General features: G+C 41.5%; 1 protein-coding gene across 15 annotated transcripts in view, besides 1 other annotated feature; it reads right to left on the bottom strand.

Annotated features, from left to right (window-relative positions):
- CTNNA2 (catenin alpha 2) overlaps positions 1-26,070 on the bottom strand; it is a 1,463,404-nt gene that overhangs the window by 118,403 nt on the left and 1,318,931 nt on the right. Inside the window, exon 1 of one of the 15 annotated variants that reach the window (XM_011532557.3) lies at positions 24,030-24,184. The exons of the other annotated variants lie outside the window; for them this stretch is intronic. The gene's annotated coding sequence lies outside the window, so the exon portion shown is untranslated. Of the gene's footprint in view, positions 1-24,029; positions 24,185-26,070 lie in introns of those variants that run through there. 15 annotated transcript variants of the gene reach the window in all.
- Positions 431-480: a silencer, noted in NCBI's record as "silent region_11685". NCBI's record gives its function as "represses an Ori minimal core promoter by ATAC-STARR-seq in GM12878 lymphoblastoid cells {active_cell/tissue: GM12878}" and the evidence as "EXISTENCE:reporter gene assay evidence [ECO:0000049][PMID:35858748]".

Genomic DNA, 26,070 nt, shown 5'->3' with positions numbered 1-26,070 from the left:
CCTTGTTGAGTGCCCTACAACTCTTCCTTTTATGGGCCACAAACTGCTACTGAGGGCTGCAATTGCAACAGCTCCTTGCTCAGCTCTGAAATCTAATATTTCCATGATGCTCAGAAAGCAGGGCAGAGCAGTGCCGGGGGTGGGCAGGAGGGTTATTTCACGTCACCTGGGGTTATTTCACGCCCTCTCAGAAAGGGCTCTGCCACATGGAGTCCCTTTTTTTCCAAGGTGACCTTCGAGTAACCACTGCTGCCTTGTTGGGCAGCAGATGCATCCCTCACAGTCCAGAGCCATGGTCAGTAGTGGACCACAGATGCATTTGCTTTCACCTTCAGGCTCTCAGGAGACCATGGCTAGCTCTAGATGAAAGGCGCAGCTGCACTTTCAGAAGTGTACACAAACCCCGAGCCAAAGTTATGCTTGTAACCAACACCCGTAGGAGCAGGCCAAGCCCCATGGTGCCCTTCAAATGTGCCTCACCTTAGCAACTCTCTACAAGTGAAATGTTTTACTCTCATCCTCAGTAGGTCATTTTTACCCCCCTCGCTGAATCAGTCTGGGTGAATGGCCAGTCTGACCTTTCAATCTGCTACGTGAAATAAAGCTTAAGTTGGTGTTCTGACTAATAGTACCAGAGAGAAGCAAGCAATGAAATTCTATGTAACTTGCTTCTGTTTAGTTTTGTGCTCTAGAGGCTGGCTGTTTCGTTATTTAACCCCAGGCTGTTGCCTCAAATAGGCTCTGCAATCTTTTGTGGGATCCAAGTTTAGCAAGCATACTCATTGTGTGAACACCAATAATATTTTTCAGGTGCACCTAGAGAAAGGGAGAGAACAAAAGAGGGCTATAAAACTATTTGGAGGTCTTCATCAATGTAAGTGCTTAGTTAAATAAGCAATAATTGCAATTATTGTTTTAGCATTCCCTGAAGACAGAAAATTTAACTTTCAAATGTCTTAATACCTATTATTTCACAACAGATTATGTACACATAGATATACTTTTCCATTGGTATTTAGTTATAAACTATGAGTAACAATCTATGTCTATGGGCCAAATATAGCCAGTGGCTCGTTTTTGTATGGTTTTAAAGCTAAGAATGGTTTTACACTTATAAAGGGCGGTTAAAACACCTACATACAGAAAAATCTGTGAGACTCCATGTGGCCTACAAATCTGAAAATAGTTACTATTCTTACCAATAAAAGTTGGCTGACCCCAAAGTATGATGGTATACCTATAAAAACTACTCTGGTGTTTGTCTGCCTGCCCACCAGGACATGAGTTGCCCCAGATGCTCCAATCCCAGCAATCTTTGCCACTGATCAAGGAAGCCATCTCTGCTCGTATTTCCCAAGTTCCTTTCTGGTTGTGTTCTTCAAAGAGAAGGATCTTTTTATTTCTCATCTCTTAATACTTGTTTATTTATGTTTACATAACCCCTATGTCACCATTCATTATTCCACCAGATACAGCTTTTCCAAAAGTCTAATCTGTCCTCAGGGACTGAAGAGCTACAAAGTTTGAGAATGTTCCAAAGAATATGTTAGAGACTCACGAAGAATCAGTGTAAAAACATGTCAGAGGCAGCAGCCCTCCAATCTGGGCAAAAACTCCCAAAGGGTCTACTTTGAAGAAAAAAGCCCTCTCTGGAATGAGTAATTTATTTTTATTTTTATTTATTTATTTATTTATTTTTTTGGTGGGGGTTGCACCTTCTATGTGGTAGAACCCATGAGATTCATGATCATGCCTGAAGTGTGGAGTTGGGCTCACATTTCAGTGTGAGACAGTTTGGACGGCAGCTTTGGTACCCAGAGCATTGTCCACAGGCCAGTAGCAAGGGCAATACCTGGGGGCTTGTTAGAAATGTATGGCTAAGGGCTGGGCACGGTGGCTCACGCCTGTAATCCCAGCACTTTGGGAGGCTGAGGCAGGCAGATCACGAGATCAGGAGATCAAGACCATCCTGACTAACACGGTGAAACCCCATCCCTACTAAAAATACAAAAAATTAGCCAGGCATGGTGGTGAGTGCCTGTAGTCCCAGCTACTCAGGAGGCTGAGGCAGGAGAATTGCTTGAACCCCAGGAGGCAGAGGTTGCAGTGAGCCAAGATCACGCCACTGTACTCCAGCCTAGGCGACTGAGCGAGACTCCATCTCAAAACAAACGAACAAACAACAACAACAAAAATACAGCTAAGGTTGAGAACCACTGATCTATTCCAAACAAACTCTCATTTCCTTTCTCATGTGCCCCACATCTCCATCCATTTACCAAGAAGAATTGATTCTATAAGAAAATTTTCCCTTGGTCATGCAGCTAATTTGCTGCAAAATGGAGACCAAGTTACAAGCTTCCATATTTCTGTTATTCATAAATTTGGATGCACACTGAAAATGTCTGAGAAATATTAAAGATATTGATGCCTGGGACCCACACTCATAAATTCTGATGTACTCGCCCTTGTGTATGGACAAGACGTGGGCATTTTAAGCCTCTCCAGCTAATCCTAATATGCAGCCCTGGTGGAGAACTGTCTCCCTATTTGAAATTTCATTTAAATTTACTTTAAATTCAGTTAGAGTATTTCCAGGTAAATGAGTGCCTCTTTCTCTTCTAAGGCATTGGTCTGGGTCCATCAGCTTTGCTTTCTCCTTTATAGAGGCCAACCAGGGAGAGGCCTCAGAGATGTCCTCTCTCTCCCAATGACTCCCAACTTTGCCCCATCATAAGAATCACCTGGTGTGCTTGCTAAACCTACATTTCACCAGAAGATTCTGATTCCAGAGCTCTGCAATGGGCCTGACAATTCCTGTTTCTAAAAGACTCCCCAGCTGCCACTTAAGATAAAGCAGATTTCAGGTAAAACTGATCTAACACAAGTCCAGCAGCATCAGCATCACCTGGGAACTTATCAGGCATGCGAATTCTCAGGCCTCACCCCGGATACACAGAAATCAGAAACTATGGGGGTGGGGCCCAGTCATCTGTGTTTTTAGCCCTTCTGGTGGCTCCAAAGCATGCTCAAGTCTGAGACTCACAGGCCTACCACAAACGCTTCACTTTTTGACAAATAGTGCCCTGTTTTCTAAAGTCCAGCCAACAGGAATTCCCCCATACTACACTTGCTTTGCTTTCTTTTTAAAAAATTATCCTCATGTCATCACTTCTTACAACTCTATGAAAGTGAGTTATCTGAGAATTTTTTCTGACACTTTTAATTAGAAAGTCCTAATTACTATCATCTTTCATGAATATTCTGGGTAAGAGTGAGACCTTGTGTTTTGACACAAAAAGCACATTCTCCTGAGCACTCAGGGTGGTGCCATCAACTGTGTCATAGTGCTCAAATTTTTTCCCCTGAAATGCAGACATGTCCATAGACAATTTGTACAATGACCATATTCTACTACCTCCCAAATTTCAAAAAATGTTAGAAGGGTGACAAAAGGATTTTTTTTAAAACTCCATAGTTCTTGCAGGATTCTTAGAGAAGTTTGCATTCAAGGAAATCCTGGATACCTATGCAGTGCTTAAGGTACTTTCAAAAGTTCTAATATTATTTTATTCAATTCTCACAGCACCTGAAATGACGCAAGAGTTGGAATGTGTGAGTTTTAACTGTGCAAACACTTTTTTATAAGCTCTATCTTTTTTTGTTTTATCCTCAGAACACCACACGAAGAAGGTACTGTCATTATCATTCCCATTTTATAGATGAGAAAATTGAGGCACAGAGAGGCCCGGCACAGTGGCTCACGTCTGTAATCCCAGCACTTTGGGAGGCTGATGTGGGCGGATCACCTGAGGTCAGGAGTTTGAGACCAGCCTGGCCAACATGGTGAAACCCCATCTCTACTAAAAATACAAAAATTAGCCAGGCGTGGTGACGCACATCTGTAATCTCAGGACTTTGGGAGGCTGAGGTGGGCGGATCACAAGGTCAGGAGTTCGAGACCAGCCTGGCCAACATGGCGAAACTCCATCTCTACTAAAAATACAAAAATTAGCCAGATGTGGTGATGCACGCCTGTAATCCTAGCTACTCAGGAGGCTGAGGCATGAGAATCCCTTGAACCCGGGAGGCGGAGGTTTCAGTGAGCTGAGATCGCACCACTGCACTCCAGCCTAGGTGACAGAGCCAGACTCTGTCTCAAAAAAAGAAAAGAAAAAGAAAATCGAGGCACAGAGAAGTTCAGTAGATTTACTGAGGTCATACCAGAGTAAGGAGAAAATGCAGGTTTGAACTATAGTGGCCTAACTTCAAAGCACATTCTAGAGATCCCTATATGATGCTCATTTATTGCTCACCACAAACATTAAACAGATTTTTTTATTTTTCAGATGAATAACCAGAAGCTAAGAGAGTATTAGGTTGGTGCAAAAGTAACTGTGGTTTTTGACATTACTTTCAATGGCAAAAAATGAAATTACTTTTGAACCAACCTAATAGCTTGCCCAGATCATACAGCTAATAAGTGGCAGAGCCAATGTTTGAACCTGGAGTCTGTTTGCAGGTCCCAGGCACACGTATTGCACCTTATGCAATCCTGCCAGCGCGTAAGGTAGTCATTATCCTTACAGATCATGGAGCACCAATGAGGCAGCTTTTCAACTTCAAGTTACAGTCACTCTCTTAAGAGGGGCTTAGGAAAAGCTGACATGATGAGTGTGATCAAGGCCCCTCCAGAAAAACCCTAGCATAAAATACATTTTCCAAGGGACAGGCTACGATAGGAGAGAAAACAAAAGCAAACATTTGATATTGAGGGTAGAGAGCAGATGGGTGAGGGGGAAATTGGAAAGTCAGGCTTAGCTGAATTCAGGGTTTTTGTTGTTGTTTGTTTTTTTGCCTGAGGCCAGTCCTGCTCCTGAGAGTTACCCAGATACAAGCCAAATCAGATTCAGAGTCGCTGAACTTGACCAGAGTAGTTATTTCTCCCTTACTTCACAGTCACTGGGGAGGGCATCACCAACACAGAAGGGGAAATCCAGATCATTCAGATTGAAAGAGGCCCCAAAGACTTCCGGGACCTGCCCTATGAGACTCCAGCTGCCAGGCAAGGATTCTCTCTTGAGCACACTGAGCCCATCCAACCAGGCAGGAGAGGGGTCCTGAGACTGTGTGTGTTGGGGAGGCAGGGTAGCAAAAATTGCTATTAAAAAAAAAAAACTCTAGCTGTGCAATCCTGCCCCAGCACAAACAGGAACTACCAGAGGAGGAAAGAGTGAGAAGACATTGCTTGTCTTCTGCTTCATTCACTCACTCACCACATTTAATTAATCACCACATAAGCTTCTGGAAGTCATACAAAAAAAAAAGTGTATACTGCTCAGTGATGGGTGCACCAAAATCTCACAAATCACTACTAAAGAACTTACTCATGTAACCAAATACCACCTGTTCCCCAAAAACCTATGTAAATAAAAACTTAAAAGTATGAGGTGGGGGTGGCAAGGGGGAGACATCTAATGAGATAATACAGACCATAAAAGAGCGAATGAAGTCAAATACAAACGTGCTACAGTAGAGATCTATGCTTGTCAGAGTGGGACCACCAAGTGGGTGGAGAGCATTTTTTTGTGTGTGAGAGAGCATGTATGAGGGCAGTTGTTTAGGAAAAGCTTCAAAGATACACAGGTCCCTAGGCTTACAACAAGGCAGACCCTAAGATGGGGAAGGAGGTAATGGCAAAAATTAGGGGCTAGTGGCATAGGGAGACTATTCTAGGGAAGAAGAAAGAATGTGAGCCATGGCCAAAGAGACTGGGGTATTTGGAGATTGGCAAGTAGTTCAACGTGACTAGTCTGCAAGAGGGGAGTCAGCAGAAAATATGGCTGGGATGGAAGTCAGCACCAAAGATGTTATAACAACTTTCACCTGTAGGCAATGGGCAGAACTTTAAGCAGGTGAGTGACCACTGGGCAAATGTCACCTAAAGAGCACTTGCACACCTGTTTGGAAGATGAATCAGAAGAAAATGAGAAAGAGCAGGTAGGCGGAGTCAGATTCTTCTGAAAAGGAAAGCGTACACCCACTATTATATATTCAAGGTAAGAGAACAAGGAATGTGGAGGAGGATATACAAGATACTATCTTATGAGGTACCTCTTCTAACCCCTAATTTACAGATGAGAACACTTGGAGGTGAAGTACATCTCCCCTGATCACCTAAATGGTCAGGTTCAGAGCCAGGAATATTCAATGGTCTGTCTCCCAAACCAGTGCTCCTCCCACTGTGCCACAGTCCCTCTCCCCAGCTATTTCCCTGCAGGACATCTCCTGAAGGCCTGTCATCCCCATCAGCAGCTATGCTTTTGTCAGGACTACACAGGCAGGTATGACAACTCCTCAGCGCCAAGAGCAAAAAGTCTTATGCTATGCTTTTGCTTATATGATTCACCCTTCTACCTCTGCCTATCCTAAGGTCAAAGTCATGCCTCACATCATCTAGGAAGCCTTCCTCAACCAATTTCCCCTAAGTATGGCAACGTAATCTTCCCTTACTCTGAAATCTTACCACATTAGTGTAAAGAATTTGTATCAAGATTGGTTATATTAAAACGTTGTCCTCTGTGAAGACTTGCCTTCCCCATTATCAACTTTTCAAAGTCAGGGACCATCTCCTGCCTCTTCTGTATTAACCTTAGCATGAAATATACTGAGAACACAACAGACGCCAGCCCCTCCTGTGTGCAAGCTGCTGGCTGCATGTCCATGTACCACTTACACCCTTACAACAGGGGAGCCGAGCTCGCTGTAGAGCCCAGCCCCATCATTCACTCAGGACTGCAATAGAAAAGACCCCATGGTGGCATAAATACTGTTATTTAGGTTTAATATCAGCAGTAGGAATTGTCGTAGCCTATCTTCCTCTTTCCATCTACCTTATAACTTTCTCTTCACGCAGGCCTAACATTATCACCAAATCACTAACATTTTCCTCCTTTTGCTTCTCTTTCCAGTGCCCCAGTCATTCATACGGAGTTTCTTCTCTCAATTTACAGCTCATAGACATCTTTTTTTATTCTATGAAAAGTTGCCTCTCTCCATGCACCGGGACCGACTTCATATTTACTCAGCCTTTGTTGCATTTACAACTTCACTTTCCTTTCTGCTCACCCATGTATTTGAATTCTGCTCTCCCACTGAGGCTGCTTGACATGTTCAAGATTGCTACAAGTGGTTTTTTTCATTAAATAAATGTTTTCCTCTAATACACAGGTATGGCACCTATTCAATACTTCCTTGTTAGATGATCTCATTCACCCTGACCCTATTTTCATTACTGGGTTGAAAATACACAACTCATTATCCCAGACTCTGGCTTCTCACTCTTACCTTTATGTAATTTTCTGAGTTGGTTGATAGCTCCAATTGAGCAGTGCACAATCACCCCAAATGCATGAATTCCACAAAACATATGCACCACAGGACCCCGTCTTCTCCTGCTCAGTGTCACTATCAGCTAATGACATATTGTATTAGTCTATTCTCACGCTGCTACAAAGACATACCTGAGACTGGGTAATTTATAAAGAAAAGAGGTTTAATCAGCTCATGGTTTTGCAGGCTGTACGGGCCTCTGCTTCTGGGGAGACCTCAGGGAACTCACCATCACGGAGGAAGGTGAGGGGGAAAGCAAGCCGTCTTCACGTGGCTGGCAAGAAGTGGGGGCTGGGTGCTACATACTTAAACAAGCAGCACTAAGGGGATGGTACTAAACCATCCCCATGATCCAATCACCTCCCACCAGGCCCCTTCTTCAACACTGGGGATTACAATTCAACATGAGATTTGGGCGGGGACAAAAATCTCCAGGATAGAAAACTAAGATTCCTACTCGGCAATTAAAGTCCCGTCACCTTTAACAGCAAGATATCTCCAACCGCTTTATTCCTAACCCCTTCAATGCAACGGTCACAGTTCAAATGTTTATCAACACACATTCTAATTATTGAAATTAAATGCAATCTATTTTCTACAGTATCTGAAGTCCTCCACTGTCTGACCCCAACTTGGATCTCCAACTTTATTGCTCAAACACATCACAGCTCCCATCCTCTTGCTACAGAAGACTGCAGCACTCATTAAGACTCTCTTTTGAGGATCCTTGAGAACAGCTGAGGCTCACACTAACTACCAATCACCCTGACAGAGCTGACTCTCTCTGCAAATGAGTAGAGCTCCATGAAAACTGTTTCCGAATATGGACTTTGGACATGACCTTTGTTCAGAACCAGAGAATGCACAACACACTTAAGAGAAACACAGGATCCAGGTTGGCCTTGTGGGGAGCTTCTAGAAAGAAATATGGACAGATAACCTGATTTAGATATGTAACTGTTAGGTTGAGAAACCACTTGGGGCTGTATATTCTTAAAGTGACTTCATTTTTTGATCTCCCTCTCTTCATTTAAGTTACTCCTTGAGGCTAATTCTTTCTCTACCTATGACTTTTCTGCTTCTTCTGAAGTAATGCAGTTTTGATTTAGTTATTTAGTGTGTTAATTTCCTACTGCTACTGTTAAAAATTACAACTTTAATGGCTTCAGACATCACAAAATTTATCTTACATTTCTGAAGGTCAGAAGATTGAAATGGGGCTCGCCGGGCTAAAATCAAGGTGTCAGCAGTGCTATATTCTTTTCCGGAGGCTCCAGGAGAGAATTCGTTCCCTTGTCTTCTCCCACTCCTAGAGGCTGCCCCCATTGGCTCCTAGCTCCTTTTTATCTCCAAGACTAACAACGGCTAGTGAAGTCTTTCTCTCCTTGCATCACTCTAACTCTCCTGCCTCCCTCTTTCACATATAAAGACCCTTGTGATTACATTGGGCCCACCTGGATAAATCCAGGCTCATGTCCTGACCTTAAATTCAGCTGATTAGTAAATCTTAATTCCATTTGCAACCTTAATTCCCCTTTGCCACATGAAGTAACATATTCATGGGTTCCAGGGATTAGGATGTGAGCAACTGTGGGGGGATCAGGGAGCAATGATTCTACATAGAGTTCCATGTAAGAGTTAAAACTTGCATTTTGTTTGGAAATAAAGACTCCCATCTCCTTCCCTGTATGGGGCTTTGGTGAGTATAGCAGGTACGAGGAGGCACTCAGTTTCTCTTTTGTTCTTCCACTTGGTAGCCTCAAATCCTGTTCCCTCAACTTACTAACTGGTCTCCAGGGTTAGGTAGAGGAAGGGAGAAAAGAATGGGGAAATTGGAACATCTTTGCTCACTACACAGGGACGCGGCCCCAGCACAAGGGCTGTCAGGGCTTCGTGGGTGCTCACAGCTGGCTTTCTCATCAGTGATTTGTTTCTCTCACTGAGGGCCAGTGCATCTCATCCTCATTCACCTGGTACCCCTGCCTCAGCCCCTGGCCATGTAGTAATACCTCAATATTTCTACTGAGGTTTATCCACTCTCCAAACAGCCCTCTTGAACAGGACCTTGGATCATTCCACACCAAACCTCTCAACTCACAGAAAATACCACTCTTTTTTACTGACAAACTCTGGCAGTGTAGGCCAATCCTAATGCAGCCAGCTTTTCACCGAATCAATGTGGAAGCAGGTGCAGCCGGCTTCTTGCTCTTTAGAGTCTCTCAGTACAATACCCCCAAAATTAGTATGTGGAAACCCTAATTCCAATGTGATGATATTTAGAGGTGGAGCCCTTGGGGGCTAATTAAGTCATGAGAGTGGAGTCTTCATGAATGGGAATAGTGCCTTTATAAGCAGAAACTACAGAGCAAACTAGCTTTCTTTCTGCAAGGTGAGGATACAGTAAGGAGTTAGCCACCTGCAACTCCGGAAAAAGGCCCTCATCAGAACCCGACCATGCTAGCACCATGATCTTGGACTTCCAGCCTCCAGAACTGTGAGAAACACATTTCTGTTGTTTAGGACTTCCAGTGTATGCTATTTTGTTATAATACCTGAACCGACAAGGGCCCTCAGCCTGAAGTAAACCCTATTTCTCTGTGTTCCCCGCTGGCAGGTCGGGAATTTTTCCAGTTCTCTCCTTGCACTTCTATCAAGGCCTATTTCCTTTTGATAATGAAAAGGGGATGGCACAGGCCACCAACAGCTTTCTCCAAAAATGTGTCCCATCTAGTATATGCTTATTGATCCCTTTATGTCTCTAGTGTGGGTGAGTATATTCAGAGTTCATTCACCATCTTTTAGCCAGCTGCTTAGAAACACACACCCTCTTGGTCTCACACCTCACTTTGGAAAGTGACTCAGCTGAAATTTCTATTTTAACAGCATTCCTGGAGGAGGAGGGATGAGGAAATCAGGGAAACACAGGGGGTGTTCCACTCTGTGGGGTGAAAGGAAAGAGGCTTCTAAGCAACAGTGGATCAATGATGTGACCCCATCTTAGAAAGATGAAGGACAATGCACCATGTGGTGAAGGTGTGACAGGCGTGACCAGTCTCCTGATGTGGTCCACTGCATGTTGTTCCAGAGGATGGTCTCTGGTGTCACTTCCCCAAAGTGAGGACACCTGGCCATTATGGGTCTGCATCTGATGAGCAGCTGAGCCTCTTAGGACTTAGTTATTTCAATAAGTTCAGTAGAGCTATTCCCAAACTACTGTGCTATGGGCTATTTCAGCAGGAAAGTAAAGATACTAGCATGTAGTTGTCCTCTACAATCTAAGGGAAATATTACCAAACAGAAAAGTCAGCCTTTGAATAAATATAAAAATTTCTAGGACGTGGAATTCAGAGGAGGTCAGAATAGATCAGGTCAAGGAATTAGTTCTGACCTATTATTCTCTATTGCTCAGAGCTGTGCCCAGGCACATGCTGGGGAGTAACAATGCTGTTGCCAATATTTATGCAATATGGAAGCATTTTTAAGTGACTCATGATGTGAAAACTAGAAGGGGGTGTAGAGAGCATCCAAATGGAAACCTAGAGTGTGATTTTTTTTCAAAGATGCTCTCTCTGTTCATTAGTGACCAAACCAGATTTCAAAACCAGGCACCCTAAGTACCAGTCCAATGATCTTGTCACTTTTTCGGTCTGGATTTGGCAATGCGTTTCTGTGTTTTATTGTTTCATCAGCACAAAGCACAATCCATGATAGTGTTCAAAAAATGCTTCTAGGACTTCACAATGCTAATCTGTTTTCCTACAGCATTTTCCTTTTGGCTTTCTCAGCTACATTTTTCTATCTCAGATGCTCCTTGATTTTATAATATAAATCACACATACATACACACACACGTACACACACACACAAAAGAGAAAGAGAGGTGTTTATTCTTGTATTCCCTTATCAAATCAAGCTCCAGGTGTTTCATATTTTTCACTGCCCCATGAAAACTTACTAATTGTGGATTCCCTTCTTCTAAGCAATGCCAGATTTCAAAAAAAAATCCCATTTATGTGTTAGTAAGTAAATTATCTTACCCTCTTAATTATCCAGGGGTGGAAGTGAACAGAAACCAGGAAAAGAAAATGCACAGATAAGTCTATTACAATCAGATACTAGGTTTAGATTTGGTTCCTTGAGAGCTAAGGCAAAAAGGCAAATAATGGGCTATAGAGTTTTTTAAAAAATATTTTTAACAAAAAGAAGCTTACAGATTCCTTCAGGAATCAAATTTTTCCTAAAACTAATTCACATTTACTCATATAAATAGTCAAGAATATTTGAGAATCTAGTAGCAAAAAACACATTAAGTGTGTTTTTATGGTATATACAACATGCCATTCATATAATAATTATTGATGAGATGAATAGTGATCACTAAGAACCCGACACTGCAGACCAGCTGAAGACTGAGTATCACAGGCAACCAGGAAGCAGAGCCAACCAAATTCCAGGTTTAGGCAGAAACTCAACAGAATATAACTTCTGTGCATTTCAACATGTCTAATATCCATGATGTATATGTTGGGGCAGGGGTATCATCCATCATCCTCTATCCATAAAGACAAGAAGGACATGGAATGTTCTTGGACAGTTGGAGACGTCCCAGTGTAATAACCAAAATCTGTGCTTCTGTGGGTGTAGGAAGAAGGGGAGAACTTGACAGATTGGGGAAATGATGTTCCAATACCAGAAGACCAGACTGATCCAATTATTCCATTATAACATTCCACATCCACTAGAGATCATCAGCTCACTCTGCTTTTAACTAAATAATATTTCATCATTTACTTAACTGAATATGAAAAATATGCTTGAAGAATCACCTCAATAATCCATTGAGATTTCAAATTGTCAAATCACAGATCAAATTCAAAGCTTTTAATATAAATGTCTTTGAGTGAAGGACAGCATTTCCAGCTATCTGCAGTCTAATGGCAAGTCTGGTGTCTTGCCTTGGAGCAAATGCTTGCATTTACTGCCCGTCACCTGAAGGTGTTTTACTTGTAATCCCTAGAAATAGCATACTTTAGGGATGTGAATTCTGGCAAATATCTGGTTAGTGTGATCCATACTGACAAGCCAATGTTTTCAATACACTCTGATCATAAAATGAGTTTCCTGGATCAGTAAAGTAATCATGCAGACCAAGTTTAGGCAACAAACAGTAAAATAAATATTGTCCAGAAAATGACTCAGTGTTGATGCAATGCAAAAAGCCTCCAATGTTATTAAAACGATTTGGGGTTATGTGGCCCAAAACTTGTCCTGAGCACCATTTTGTGGCAGGATTCCCCAATATTACTCTCGGCTCTAGACATTCTCTCTACAAGTTCCTCAATGAACACTTCCTTGACATCACCCATCCCCTAGGAATGTTCCTTGCCTGGCAAAAGGTATACAGTTACACAAGATTAATAGACGCCTGTAAGTGGTCCTGTCATCCTTTAACTCAAAGGAGTAACTCCTACAGATAAGGTCAAGGACTGGGGCCAGCAGAACAGTGCACAGCTGGGCCCCAGGGCAACTTACATACTTCCTCCATGGCAGCAGCAGACCACTGTGATTACAGACAAGGCAAATTCTTGGTGGGAAGAGTGAAAGCAAGGCACCCTTTGCAGTGCCCCTGAGCAAATCCATCCGTGGTCCCCACCTTCCCCAATCATTACAAGTTAACTGCTCCTTTTCCTCCTGATACTGCTGATGGGAAATGAGCCTCCAGGGCTGACAGCCAAAAATTAATTTGATCGATTTATTTTGTGTTCCATGTTTTGGGTGCAAATGCTTTCCTCCACCCTGATGGAGCACACTTATGCTCTCCCATTTGCAGAAAACAAATTTATAGTGCCTAACTGAATTCTTTCGCTGAAGGTCAGAAACAAATGTTCCCATCCATCTCTTTTTACCTTTCTGTGCAGCACCAAGTTGCCTTCCTTCTTCATTTCAGACAAACAGGAGGATTGTTTTCTGGGGAGGGGTGGGGTGAGAGAAAGCAATTGGAACTTAGAAGTTTCTACCAAAAACAAAACTTAACTTACCCCTCATGAGAGGAATGAAGCAAAGAAATAAAAATCTCTTCTGATTTCACATGGAAGAGAAAACTTCAGTTATGCCTTAACTCAAGTAAAAAGAACACCATTAGGTAAGGACTATTAATTTACCGTTGTTAGAAAAGTGGAATCTGGCACTTAATTTGTCTGTATTTCTTGCTCACTTGAGACCAAATTCTGTCCTTGGCAGGTAACTTCCAAAGACTACAGAGAGAACTAAACATAGATGATCAGGACTGTGAATGGTTAATCCTGTTTTCTCAGGGTATAAACTAACTCTGCATTAAGATGAATAGTTTTCAGGTGTTGCTTAACACTAAAAAAGTTCACATGTTCCTGAGAAAGAAAAGTTGATATTCTCAGCCCCTGCCACGTGCTTAACCATGTTTGAAAAATGACCTCCTCCCCTCAGCCAGAGTTAATCTTGGACCTATTTGAGGTGCTTTGAGGACCAGATGGGGAGCATTAATGGGGAGAGGCAGAGCTGTGTAGGGTGAGACAAGTAGGAAGCTCATTTGCAGCCAGTCACCCTGGCCTGCACAGGTACCCAGCTGAGGCAAAACGGTAAGGACCGCATGGAAATCACATAGCTTCTGCGGCTTTTATGTAAATAGCATCCTACATATGGGTAACAAACACCATTCTGTTATCTTCCATCTCTCTGCTTCTGCCCTGAGAAAAAAACCCAATGTTGCTTAGATATTCATGGCATGAGGTGGCCAAAGGCAAGATGCATATTAGCCAATCAGCTCAGTCTGGACACAAAGGCTTTCCTGAGCACATCCCCTTCCTGCCCCAGAGATGTTAAGCTTGGGTGGCTTCACACACTCTGCCTCAGGGAGATATGTTCTGCATAATGAATCCCACTGTTGTCCGTAATGAGAAGGAGGTCATCTATACACTTGACCTGAAAGGAGTAGAGAAAGAGAGAGAGAAGAGACAGAATAGTGTGAAAGAGAGGTGGATAAGGAAAAACACACCCAGACCTTAGCAAAAACCATCAAAACTGGTTCCTTTGATCTGGATTTGGGCAAGTTTTTGTCCCATCTGTAAGGATGAAACAGACATGCAATTCAGTGATACTGAGGCTTTTGCCATTCATATGGAATCTGAAGCCTCAATTGATTTCGGCTGAAGCCACCAGACCTTGGCCATCATCCCCTTCTGCTTTATTTTCCACAAAGCAGAGCAAGAAGTAAATTAGGTCTTCAGTTTCTATGTTTCTTTACAAATCTGAGCTCATGTGGTGAATAATAAAAAACACATTTCAAATTTAAAGAATATGTAACAAAAGTTTCTTTTAAGCATTAGAGAGGGATGAATGCCTTCTCATTCTAATGCAGCTCAAGAGAATAAGATCCCAATGTCAGCCTCTGGCAACTGAAATAATCAATTTCTAGCAAAATAAAGAGGCAATAATATCTTTGAGGTCTCAAAAAGTTATCTAAGACCCAGGTACTCCTTCTTGAGTCTCAGCTTTAGCTTCTGAGTCAGAAATACTATTATGTCATTCTGAGCTATCCAAGGGAATAAAAGAGAAGATTGTGAAAATCCTTCTTCTGTTCTCTCCCATTAGCAATTAATTTATCATCTTATCTTTTTTTCATATGGGAAGCCCTGAGACACAGAAAGAGAAATTTCCATCAAAGAAGAACAGAGCTGGGCATTCTCTTGGTGATGGTGGGTCAGTTGACAGAATTCAATTCCAAGAAAAAAATCCTATTTGAAACTCATGAGAATGGTCCTGAAAATGAGCAGTTTCCAAGGGGGAAAAAAAAAAAAAAGATGGGCAATTCACCTAGAAATTGTTGGTACCATAAGATCCATTTCTTATGTTTGAAGGCTTTTAGTCACCCTAAGAATGTGTGCTGCAAATCTCCCTGCAAAAGGAGAAATCAAAGGACTTGACACACTCCTCTTCATAGAGGAAGAAGGCAGAGAAATTCTAGACAGACAGGGGTAGGTCCCTGATGAAACCGCACCTTCAAGCCAAAAAGCCTAAAACCTGCGGCCCAAAGTGAGAACTTCTATCCCTGTGTGCCCTCTCTCTCCTGATTGGTTCTTTTTGAATAATGTCTTTTTATCAATCAAATGTTGCCTTTTCCAAAACTACCTACAGCTTGTCCCACCCCCCATCCTGTGCCTATAAAGATCCCAGACTCAGTCAGCAGGGAGACAGAAGCGGCTTGACTGGAGAGAGGTGACTTGACTTCAGAGGGACGGCTGGACTTTGGAGGAGAGATGGCTTAACTTTGGAGAAGAGCTGGCCAGAGACGGCCTGACTTCAAGGAAGTTTACCTGCCTGCCTGGTCACCTCTCCCACTCCCCTCTCTTCTGAGAGCCTTTTCCATCACTAAATAAAATTCCCCACATCTAACATCCTTCAAGGGTCCATGTGACCTCATTCTTCTTGGACACCAGACAAGAGCTTGGGACTTACCGAGTGTGGGTACCCAGAAAAGGCTGTCACACTGGCCGTTTGCACTCATTGGTAGAAGGCGGCCACCACACAGGACAAGGCAAGGGGCCCACTGAGATGATAACACCCCACTGTCCACGAACAGAGGAGCTAAGAGAGCATTGTAACATGCCCTCTGGGACTTCAGAGGTCGCAGGCACCCAACCTGGGTGCTGCCAGGGGGCCTGCACAGAGCCTGCTCCTTCTGGCACCCAAAGTGGACAGCTGGATCCTGTACTTGCTCACTCATGCACTCCCTCCTTCAAGAGGTTGAGCACGGCTGGCCAAGTAATCAGAGCACCCCCATCGCAAGTCCAACAAAGGGGTTGAGAAAAACTCCTGCATCACCCTCAATAAACCAGGTTACCTAACACAGTGAGTGCCTAAACAGGACAGATATATAAAATCTAGTTAGGAAATCAATCTAAATCAACAAAATAAATAAAAATAAAGATTATGAGAAAGAGAGACGTTCAAATCAAATGGTAAATGATTGCTGAGAAAAAGAATGTGATTCAGGAGAAGAAAGGAAAAGACTTTGTATGGTAGAAAAGTTATAAAGAAATTATAGATACTGAAGAAGAAATATCCATCTATTATGCAGAGGGAAGAATCCAGAAAATAGAGAAAACCCTGGTACTATCCTATGGTATCACTAGTTCTGCTAAGATCTAACTCTCCTCTTCTTTCACAGCAAGTAGAGTTGCATTTTCTCCTCTCTTGCAGTTGGATGGGATTATGAGACTAGTTCTGCCTAACAATTTGGGAAGATAAATTATGCGTGTTACTCCTTTGCTAAAATTGAGACCCTCCAGACTATGCGTTCCATCTATCATGTGACAAGAAAGATGGAGATGATGGCATCAAGATTTTGGAAGGTGTTTTGTTACTGCAGCATAACCTAATTTATCCTGACTGATATGCAACCACACATTCAATAAAAGAAATACAAAGCTATATAGTGGCCACAGATTCTCTCTTGAGGAAAGTGAAGAAAACCGTACCTAAAACTGATATGGTATCCAATAAGAGTGTTTGTCTTCTTGTAGTATACACCTGAGGTGGTACAGAGAATCTGTCAAGAAAGTGCTCACACACATTTGCTAAAGCCCAGCTAAACAACTGTTATTTCTTGAAAAATAAAGAAAGAAACTGGGGCTGTATCTTTAGACTTTGGCCTGGAGGAAAAAACTGAAGGAAGGGAAGAAGCCAGGTGGTATTGTTTTTTCTCTGTTCTTTACATTTATGTTCCTGAAAGAGGAGCTAATGGGATCTTAATAGTTATGCATATGAATTAATGTGTAGGACCCCCCTCTGGTGTGGACCATGTAGAACCTAGTTTCTGGTATCAGGACCACAGGATCTTGCAAAGCAAAGGATGTGTCTTTAGCACACCAAGAGAGGAGCACTTGTGGGTATACTCTCTTGTGTAAGCAAGGGAGCTACAACACAAAATGTTAAGGGAAAGAGAAGATGCCCCAAAATAGCTCAAATCTATATATTCTGCATAGAGGAAATCAGTTGTAGCATAGATATTTCATTTTCAAAGGGACAAAAATTGATTCTTGGTGGATGCCAAAAAAGCTTAAAGATTACAACGGCCCTCCAAAAGGCCATAGTGCATAAATAGATATGCAGTATATCTGTGGTATTAACATTATATATAAGAGGTGATTACGGGGAAAGAATGTTTTAAAAAGACTCCTTAAGGGGACAGTGATGAAAAAAATACTAAAAAACACTGACATAGGTGAACAAATGTAGTGATTCTTGGAGGGAAAACAAACAAACAAAAAAAAAGAATTTAAAAATATTTATAGCCATATATATTTTCCAAAATAGAAAATGTATATATAATAAACCAGGTCACTCTAAAATGCTATCCAGAATTAAAGACAATTTTAAACGTTAACCTGAGTCTTGGTAACCATGAGCCTCTTCTTTCATCTTCTATACACGGCCCAGAAGCTCATCAGAGAAGGCCCATCCCATTTTCTCTCATTCAAACTATTTGCAGCAACATAGTCTGAACGTTTATCTTTTAAACCTACACAGCCAGAGTCTCAGCCATGGAATTATTACCATTTTCCTTTGAAGTTTTATTTTTATATCTGCTTTTGTGAACTACCCAGCACATAAGGTTCCATGCCCTATATTCCTTTTCTTTGCTATTATGAACTTCAAGAAGTTATGGGCATATTTTTCCAAGACTATTTATTTGTATATTTTTAAAACATCTACATTATCTAACAGATGAGAATTAAATCCAGAGCAAAAGTCACCATTATGGTTTCCCATATACTTTTTTTTTTTTTTTTTTTTTTTTTTGAGACAGAGTGTTGCTCTGTTGCCCAGGCTGGAGTGCAGTGGTGTGATCTCGGCTCACTGCAACCTTTACCTCCTGGGTTCAAGCGATTCTCCTGCCACAGCCTCCCAAGTAGCTGGGATTACAGGTGCCCACCACTATGCCCAGCTAATTTTTGTATTTTTAGTAGAGACGGGGTTCACCATGTTGGTCAGGCTGGTCTTGAACTCCTGACCTCAGTTTATCTGCCCACCTTGGCTGCCCAAAGTGCTGGGATTACAGGCATAAGCCACCACGCCTGGCCCTCCTACATACTTTTAACGAAGTGATTTTGTAAAATCATTCTAGACTATAGGAGATGCTCTACTTCTAAAAGATACAGATATGTAGTTGGTATATGGAAAAGCAGAAATATCCTATCACTATTAAATTTGACCTTGGACACAATTCTGTAATTTTTAGTAGTATTACAGTACTCTATTCTCTACCAGATTATGTAAACTATAGAAAATAAGTGACTTCGAATCTCCTTTTAATTTTCACTCAGATATTTTTAGTATGTCCCTATTTTGAGATTCAAGGATTTTGACAATGATATATATTTTGTCAATATACAATGCCACCACCTCATGTAATAAAATAGTCTTGGCCCACCAATGTGTTAAGAAAGCAGTAAGAGTACCATCTGTTTTAAGAGGCACTCCCTACACTGGGATAGAAGTTGTATAAGATACAACAAGCATGTTTGAACTCACCTATAACCATGACAGACAATGCTAACAATCCCAACGTCTTGCTCACAGTACCTAGAGGTAGCCTCACAGTTGTTTTGGATAAAGGCTTCAAACCGTAACACTGATGTTGATAGACAAGGTAAAAATTATCCTGGAAAAATATCTCTAATATCTTTCCATCTCTAAAACTCTCATTATGCTTTTGAATTTTTTACAATTTTGCCTTAGGTTGACCCAAGTAGATGCATACTGAGGATTCACATATAGTTCAGCAGGCATAAAAAGGTAGGGATGAATATAGCAGGAATTTATTAGTCTACTTCCCAGAGAATGACTGGATACCCAAAGCAAAAACTTTGGCTCTCTAAAGTTGCTCACAATTCTTTGCAATTGTTTTGTAAGTTGCCACCAAAGCCTTCCCTTCCCTGAGAGATGATATTAAAGTGCAAGTACCCTGGGAAGGGCAATACAGTGTCTCTTTGCTAACAAAGATAAATAACAAAGAGCAGAGTCATTACTGTGAGTGAACGTGATAAAAACATATAAACAAGAATCTTCTGCTATGGATACAGAGAATGAATGTGGAACAAGGGGTAGAGGACACACGTGACCATTTAGCAGAAGTCAGTCTATTCCAGGATTATAGATTCTACTGTTTTATTTTATAACTCTCACGTCACAAGGATCCTATATTCTTTCCCTGAAACCTAAAAGTTATACCTTTTCAGGTTTCTTGCCTGAAAATTGATTTACTTTCAATGGCAAATGCCACTATAACAAATGATCATCAATAAATTGCAGAGAATATGACCAATTTTTTCAGCATATATTCAAAAGCAAAAACTAAAGCCAATACATTCTCTTGAGAGATGACCCAGGAAACCATTGGCATGTATGATATATCAAGGTGAAGCTATGGTGATTGTTGAGCTGGGTCTTGAAGAATGAATGGGAAGACTTCATCAGATGTATTTAGAATCTGACAGGCAGGTCAGCAAGGGTGGAATACAAGGTGCAAGATGGTCTCAGTTAAGACGGGTGTCAGATAATCAATAAGGAGACTTCACGTAACAGTATATTTCAAATGAAAGATGATGAGGTCTGAAGCAAGAGGGCACATAGAGAAGGAAGTAGCTTCATGAGATAATCAGAAGGACATCTCTACAGGTAGTAATCATCAACATAATGAACTCTGTATGGTGTTTTGTGGGGTTGGTTTGGTGATAAAAATCAATGAGCGACTAGGCAGACTAAAAAAGTTTAAGTATACCAAGGAACTCATTTTTGAAAGTTAACAGGGAGATACTGAATTCATAAGCTAAATGTTGTTTTATTAAATATCTGTTGTATGCCATAAACTATACTAACTGCTGCAGGCTACTAAAATTAATAGAACATAGGCATTGCCCTATAGAGGGGCAGAAGTATATGCAGGTCAACAAACATAATAAAGGATTAGGTACAATGAGAGTAGAACAGAGGAAGCTGTTATTTCTGTCCTGAGAATTTCTCCAGGGGGAATACTGCTTCTCAAGCCTGAATATCTATGGCCCTTTAACCAATGTAATGCGACAGTGGAGTGAAGAATGGATCTGAGGACAGGAGCCCTGCGTTCCAGTCCAAGCTCTATTACCTTATAACTAATGTGTGGAGACAAGGACTGTCCAATTTGGTTCAGCATGTACTGTAGGTTACCTGCCAATAAGCTAGCTAGGACTGATGACAACCATTATCTCAGCAGAGGGGGACCACATCTTCCCTGGGTGATAGAAGGGCCCTGGGTTCCTCCTTCTCTCATTGGTAGTACTGTGCTGAACTTGGCTTCCCAAGTACCCACGGACCCCAAGGTTTTCAGGTGCCAAACAGCTGGCATTTCCTAGCACACTCTTAGACAGAAGACATCCAAGTTCAGTCTGCCTTTTTTCTGAGCTCAATATGTTAGATAACCCTACAGAAGGCCATTTTCACACTTATACCATAAGAGCATCAGCAGGACAATTTCTTGTCCGTAGAGTATTACTTCATGGTGTATCAGCATTGTCCTGGCCTCAGTGTACCTCTCTTAGGGATAATGAGGGATTAGGGGACTGAAAAGCTCCTCTTGCTGAACCTTGGCTGGTAAATGTTCCTGTTAAACCCAGACCGCTGCACCTTTCAAAACCAAGCAACATGCAGCAAATCACTTGCCTTCCCTGAGCCTCAAGTTTCTGCATCTGTAGAATGAAGAAAATAAAGAACTTCACCACACACTTCACAAGGTAGTAATAAAAATTCAAAGAGTACTTTGTAAATTGAAATGTGTTATACCCACGTGAGGGGTTATTTTTATCACAGAAGAGTGAACAGCCTCCTGAGCACAGACTCTGCTTTTGGCACCTAAACCTTCTGTTTACCACACATTGCTGCTTGGTTTGATCCACAGATAATTAGAGGTAGATCAGATGCATCCATGCAATGATATGGAAAAAATAACAAAGATAAAAATGAATATCAAATAAACGAAAAAGAAGAAGAATAAAATGAGGATGTGTCACCCATGTACATATTGAATCACTAGTCTGGGCCAAGATTCCTAGCCTGCAAAGTCGAGGGGAGACCATGTCAGATGCACACCTGCCAGAAATAGTAGGAAAGAAGCATATTCCTCAGGGAATTCCTCAGGGAACATGGCTTCATGGAGGGAACTCTGTATGAGGAGGTCAGTGGTTTCCTTCACTACATAAACACAATCAACACAATCTCAAATTTGTTTTTTTTTTTTTTTGCATAAATCCCATAGCACAGTTCAAGGAAATTTATTCCATAAAGGACCTAGCACACATGGTCTGATAAGAGTTGATCCAGAGATAAAATATAGACTAGAGAGAGTCCATATGTTGTAGGGTAAAGCTACGGATTCCTTAAAAAACAACAAGAACAACAATAACTTTAAGATACACTTGTTTGTCATATTTTTTGAGACAGTCTGGCTCTGTTGTCCAGGCTGGAGTACAATGTGAGATCTGGGCTAACTGAAACCTCTACCTCCTGGGTTCAAGCTATTCTTGTGCCTCAGCCTCTTGAGTAGCTGGGATTACAGGTGTGTGTCACCACGCCTGGCTAATTTTTTAAAATTATTATTATTTTTAGTAGAGAGAGGGTTTCACCATATTACCCAGGCTGGTGTTGAACTCCTGGCCTCAAGTGATTGTTCCATTCCTTTCCTCAGCCTCCCAAAGTGCTAGAATTACGGGCATGAGCCACTGTGTCCAGCCCCACTTGTTTATTCTTTAGAAAGCTTCTGGAAAGTACCCGTCTCACATTTAACCAGCAAGTGTAAAAGTTGGGAGTTAACTTAGATATCATCTAGTGCCAACCCAATTTAATGAAAGCAAAACTGAGGCCATCCAATAGGAAATGTCTTTTCTAAAGTGGCAAAGGCTTCATTGCTAGGACTGATCCCAGGTCTGGGCCTCTCCAGGATGCAGTGAAGTGCCTGTCTTGCCAAATCTGAGCAATCACAGTGCTTAACGTCCCTACACAGGACTCAATGCTCATTAATCACCCATCAATGCCAGTTGAGTCTGCCTACCTTGACAGCCATCTATTTGACTCAAATTTGTTTCCATCTTCATAACCCTTAGCCCAAAGATGGAAGCACTCAGTGGATGCTTAGTAATGCCTGCATAATAGATTGAGCATGGTAATATTATACATTGAGCATTTTCTATTGCAATTTAGAGACCCAGTCTAAGTGCTAAATTCGAGTCTTATTCCTTAGTTCCTGACAGTGAGCAAGCCAACTGGGGGACAATAATGACATTTCCTACAAAATAGATTATGTGAATACCAAAGCCAAGAGATATTTCATAATAAAATTTCAGCCACAATAAAGAAAAAATTAGCACTTTTACCTTCACTTCATAGTCATAGGTTAAAGGTATTACACAAATATAAAATTAAAAGATTAGTAAATGTGTCATAGATTTTTCTCTTGAAACATCGAGGTTAATTTAGCAGGCAGAGTAGTTTTACATTATGAGAACTCAAATATAGGTAAGAAAACCAAACTATGTGGGGAGCATTTCACTTTTCATATAACTAGTAGCCACCATATACTACTCTCAAAAAAAGTAAAAGGGATAAATAAAAGAGTTGCCTAGGTGATGATGGTGGTGGTAGTGGTAAAGAGTCATTGGCTGTTAAGATACATCCGTCGCTTGCTAAGTACTTTACATGTATTTCCACATTTAATTCGTACTGCAACCCTATGAGGTACATACTATTGTTATCTACATTTACAGATGAGGAGACTAGGGAACGAAATGGTTAAATTGCCATGGTACCCTAACAAGTATCTGATTCAGGATTCCAACTCTTGGAGTTTGTCTGAGAAATGCAAGTTTCAGGGCTAAACTCTTTCATCACAATAATCACTAACGTATACTGAACACCTAAGATGTGCCAAATACTCTTTAGTGCTTTTCCGTGTATTAATAGGTGTGATCTTTGCAATACTAGTATTCTCACCCCTATCTTACAGAGAAGGAAGTTTGCAAAGGTCACATAGGCAGTTCTTAAAGAGTCACACTGGGGCAGTCTGGCTTCTATAGTCATTTTATAAGTGGCATGCTCTATTCCTTCCCATGAAGGGAAAACAAGTACAGAAGCTGTGCTTTAACTCTTGTCCATCCCTCCCACGCTAGACCTGCTTATGACTTCCTCATTGCTAGCCTGAATTACTTCAACAGCCTCCTCACTGGCCTCCTGCCTTCAGAGTTGTCCCACTTAATCTATTTCCTCCACACAGCATTTAAGATAGACTCTAATAAGAACCCACCTGAAAAGCAGTTCTATCTTTAACTCTGCCCTGACTAAAACCCTTCAGTTGTTTGCCACTGCCCACAGCAAACTCCTTTAAACTGCCCAATTTAAATTCCTTTAAATTGCCCAACAAGCCATTGTGACCTATGTAGACCTTATTCCCTCTTTGACCTGACCTCCCTTACACTCCCTTTCTCACTTCCCCACAGGTCAGCCTCCAACAGCTCTGAATTGTTTGAAGTCCCCCACTAACATTATTTTTTGCCTGCCCAGCCTTGTTTTCTCACCGGTCTTCCTGTGTGGAACCTATTTCCCCACGACCACCTTCCATTTTATCTCACTTCTACCAATCGTTTAACGAGTCAGCCCAAGTGCTGCCTCCTCCAGGAAGCCTCCTCGACTCCTCTAACCAGTAACTGTTACTAACAGTTGTCTGATTCCATTGGTCATTCAAGTAGTCATGCAGCCCACTAGTAACCACTGATGCTTCCACGCTAACTTCCTCAGAAAATAGCTCATGCACTGTATCTGTAAATCATGCTGAGTCTTTTGAAGACTCTTTGTTTCCAAAGAGTTTTCAGGTGTATGCTAATAATAAACTGAAGCTGATGTTGTTGTAACTTTTTTGGGAATACGTGACATCTAGTAAAAACTAAACAGAACTATAAATTGCCTAGCTGATGAAAATTCTCCACATATCCCTTGAGGCTGCCTTACAGATCTTTTATAACTGGATCAAACAGCTGCAGCTTTCTCAAAAAAGGTATAGCACTTACAGTTAACTTTTTAACTAACTTTAATAGCAAGAATAGCTAAAGAAAGCAAGCACCTGGAAATTTTCATATCCAAGTATATTTGTGGGGAAGGAAGTGAGTTAACAAGGTATCTGCAAAGTTGAGCTATTGCATGTTATATAGAAAATGGAAATGTACATGAGGCTTACTGGACGTTGGGAACAACTTGAAATGTCTTTCTCCATATTGGAAGTATACATATGCCCACTGTTGTGGAACTTTAGATATCACCCCTAATTCATGTTCCCCTTCATCCACCACACTGCTGATATAAACCATAGCCTTCAATGTAAGAAAGACATAGGCTTTCAGTTTTGAGAAAAGTGGACAATTGTTGATATGCATGATCTCAATTTACGCTAATGGCACACATACGTTAAGAGGCCAATGGCAGACTTAAAGAATATGTAAATTAATTAGGTTTTAATTATTTTAAAATTAGATAAGATCTTGACACAATGTACGTTAGTTACTCGCTCCAAGTTACTTGCTCCCCTGATGTGAGAAGAGAAATGCCTTTAGGCAAACCAAGAGATAAGCCGAGCCCTGGGGTGGGAGCTTTACGTAAATTATCAAGAACACTTTCTTCCTGACTTTGACAATCCAAATTCTACCTGCTTTCAGATGCCAATTCAAACTTCATGTCATCAGGAAATTTGAGCCAACCCTGATGTTCCCTTTATTTATTTATTCATTTATTCATTCATTCATTCTTATTCTCCAATGTGAACATATGATGCTCCCTTTTTAGCTTGGGGCTAAGGCTTAATCTTCTGCTTAGCCATTAGCCTCCGTAAGGCATGCCACCAAGGCAAGCCATGAGAAAGGACCCAGTGCTCTGCTGGGTGTATGTGTGGGACATCTAGGAGCGCCAGCACCTGCAGTTCATCGTCCCAATAAAGAAGTTCTGAGCTGCTTCATGACCTCGTATTTCTTAAAAGGGAAAATATCTTTCCTGACTGGAACCCTTAAGCCAATACAACTAACAGAGTGCAGGTGGTTCTTGAAAGGTGAGCCACAGGCCACGTGTTTAAAAAGCTGGTATTCATTATGAATTGACCCTAGGTCAGGCAGTGATGAAGAACTTTTGTGTATACCTCCATTGAATCTCCATCACAATCCCCGGAGCTAAGTATGATTACAATTCCATTTTACTGGTAAGGCGTAAAGGAGACCTAGAGAGAGTTCCCCACCCAAGGCCCTTCAGGTTCCATGTGGTAGAGTCTGTATTTGAAGCCAGAAAGACTGTCCTTGCTCTCTCTGGCTTCATTCATGTTGTAGACAAAATTCTAAGACCACCCCAAGGTTCCCGCACTCTGGTGTACATTCCCTGTATAATCCCCTCCCCTAGAGTATGGAAAGGATTCATGAATACTACGGGATTGTCATTCCCATGTTGAGGTTACTAATCAATTTACTTTGGTCAAGCAAAAGAGATGATCCTGGGAGAGCCCAGCCTTATCTATGGAGCCCTTTCAAAAGATGGTCAAGCATTAAAGTCATGCTCTCCTAATAAATTAAAAAACTCGCTCTA

The sequence above is a fragment of the Homo sapiens genome, chromosome 2, assembly GCF_000001405.40.
Source record: "Homo sapiens chromosome 2, GRCh38.p14 Primary Assembly".
Classification (NCBI taxonomy): Eukaryota; Metazoa; Chordata; class Mammalia; order Primates; family Hominidae; genus Homo; species Homo sapiens.
This window is presented reverse-complemented; position numbering and strand designations above follow the sequence as displayed.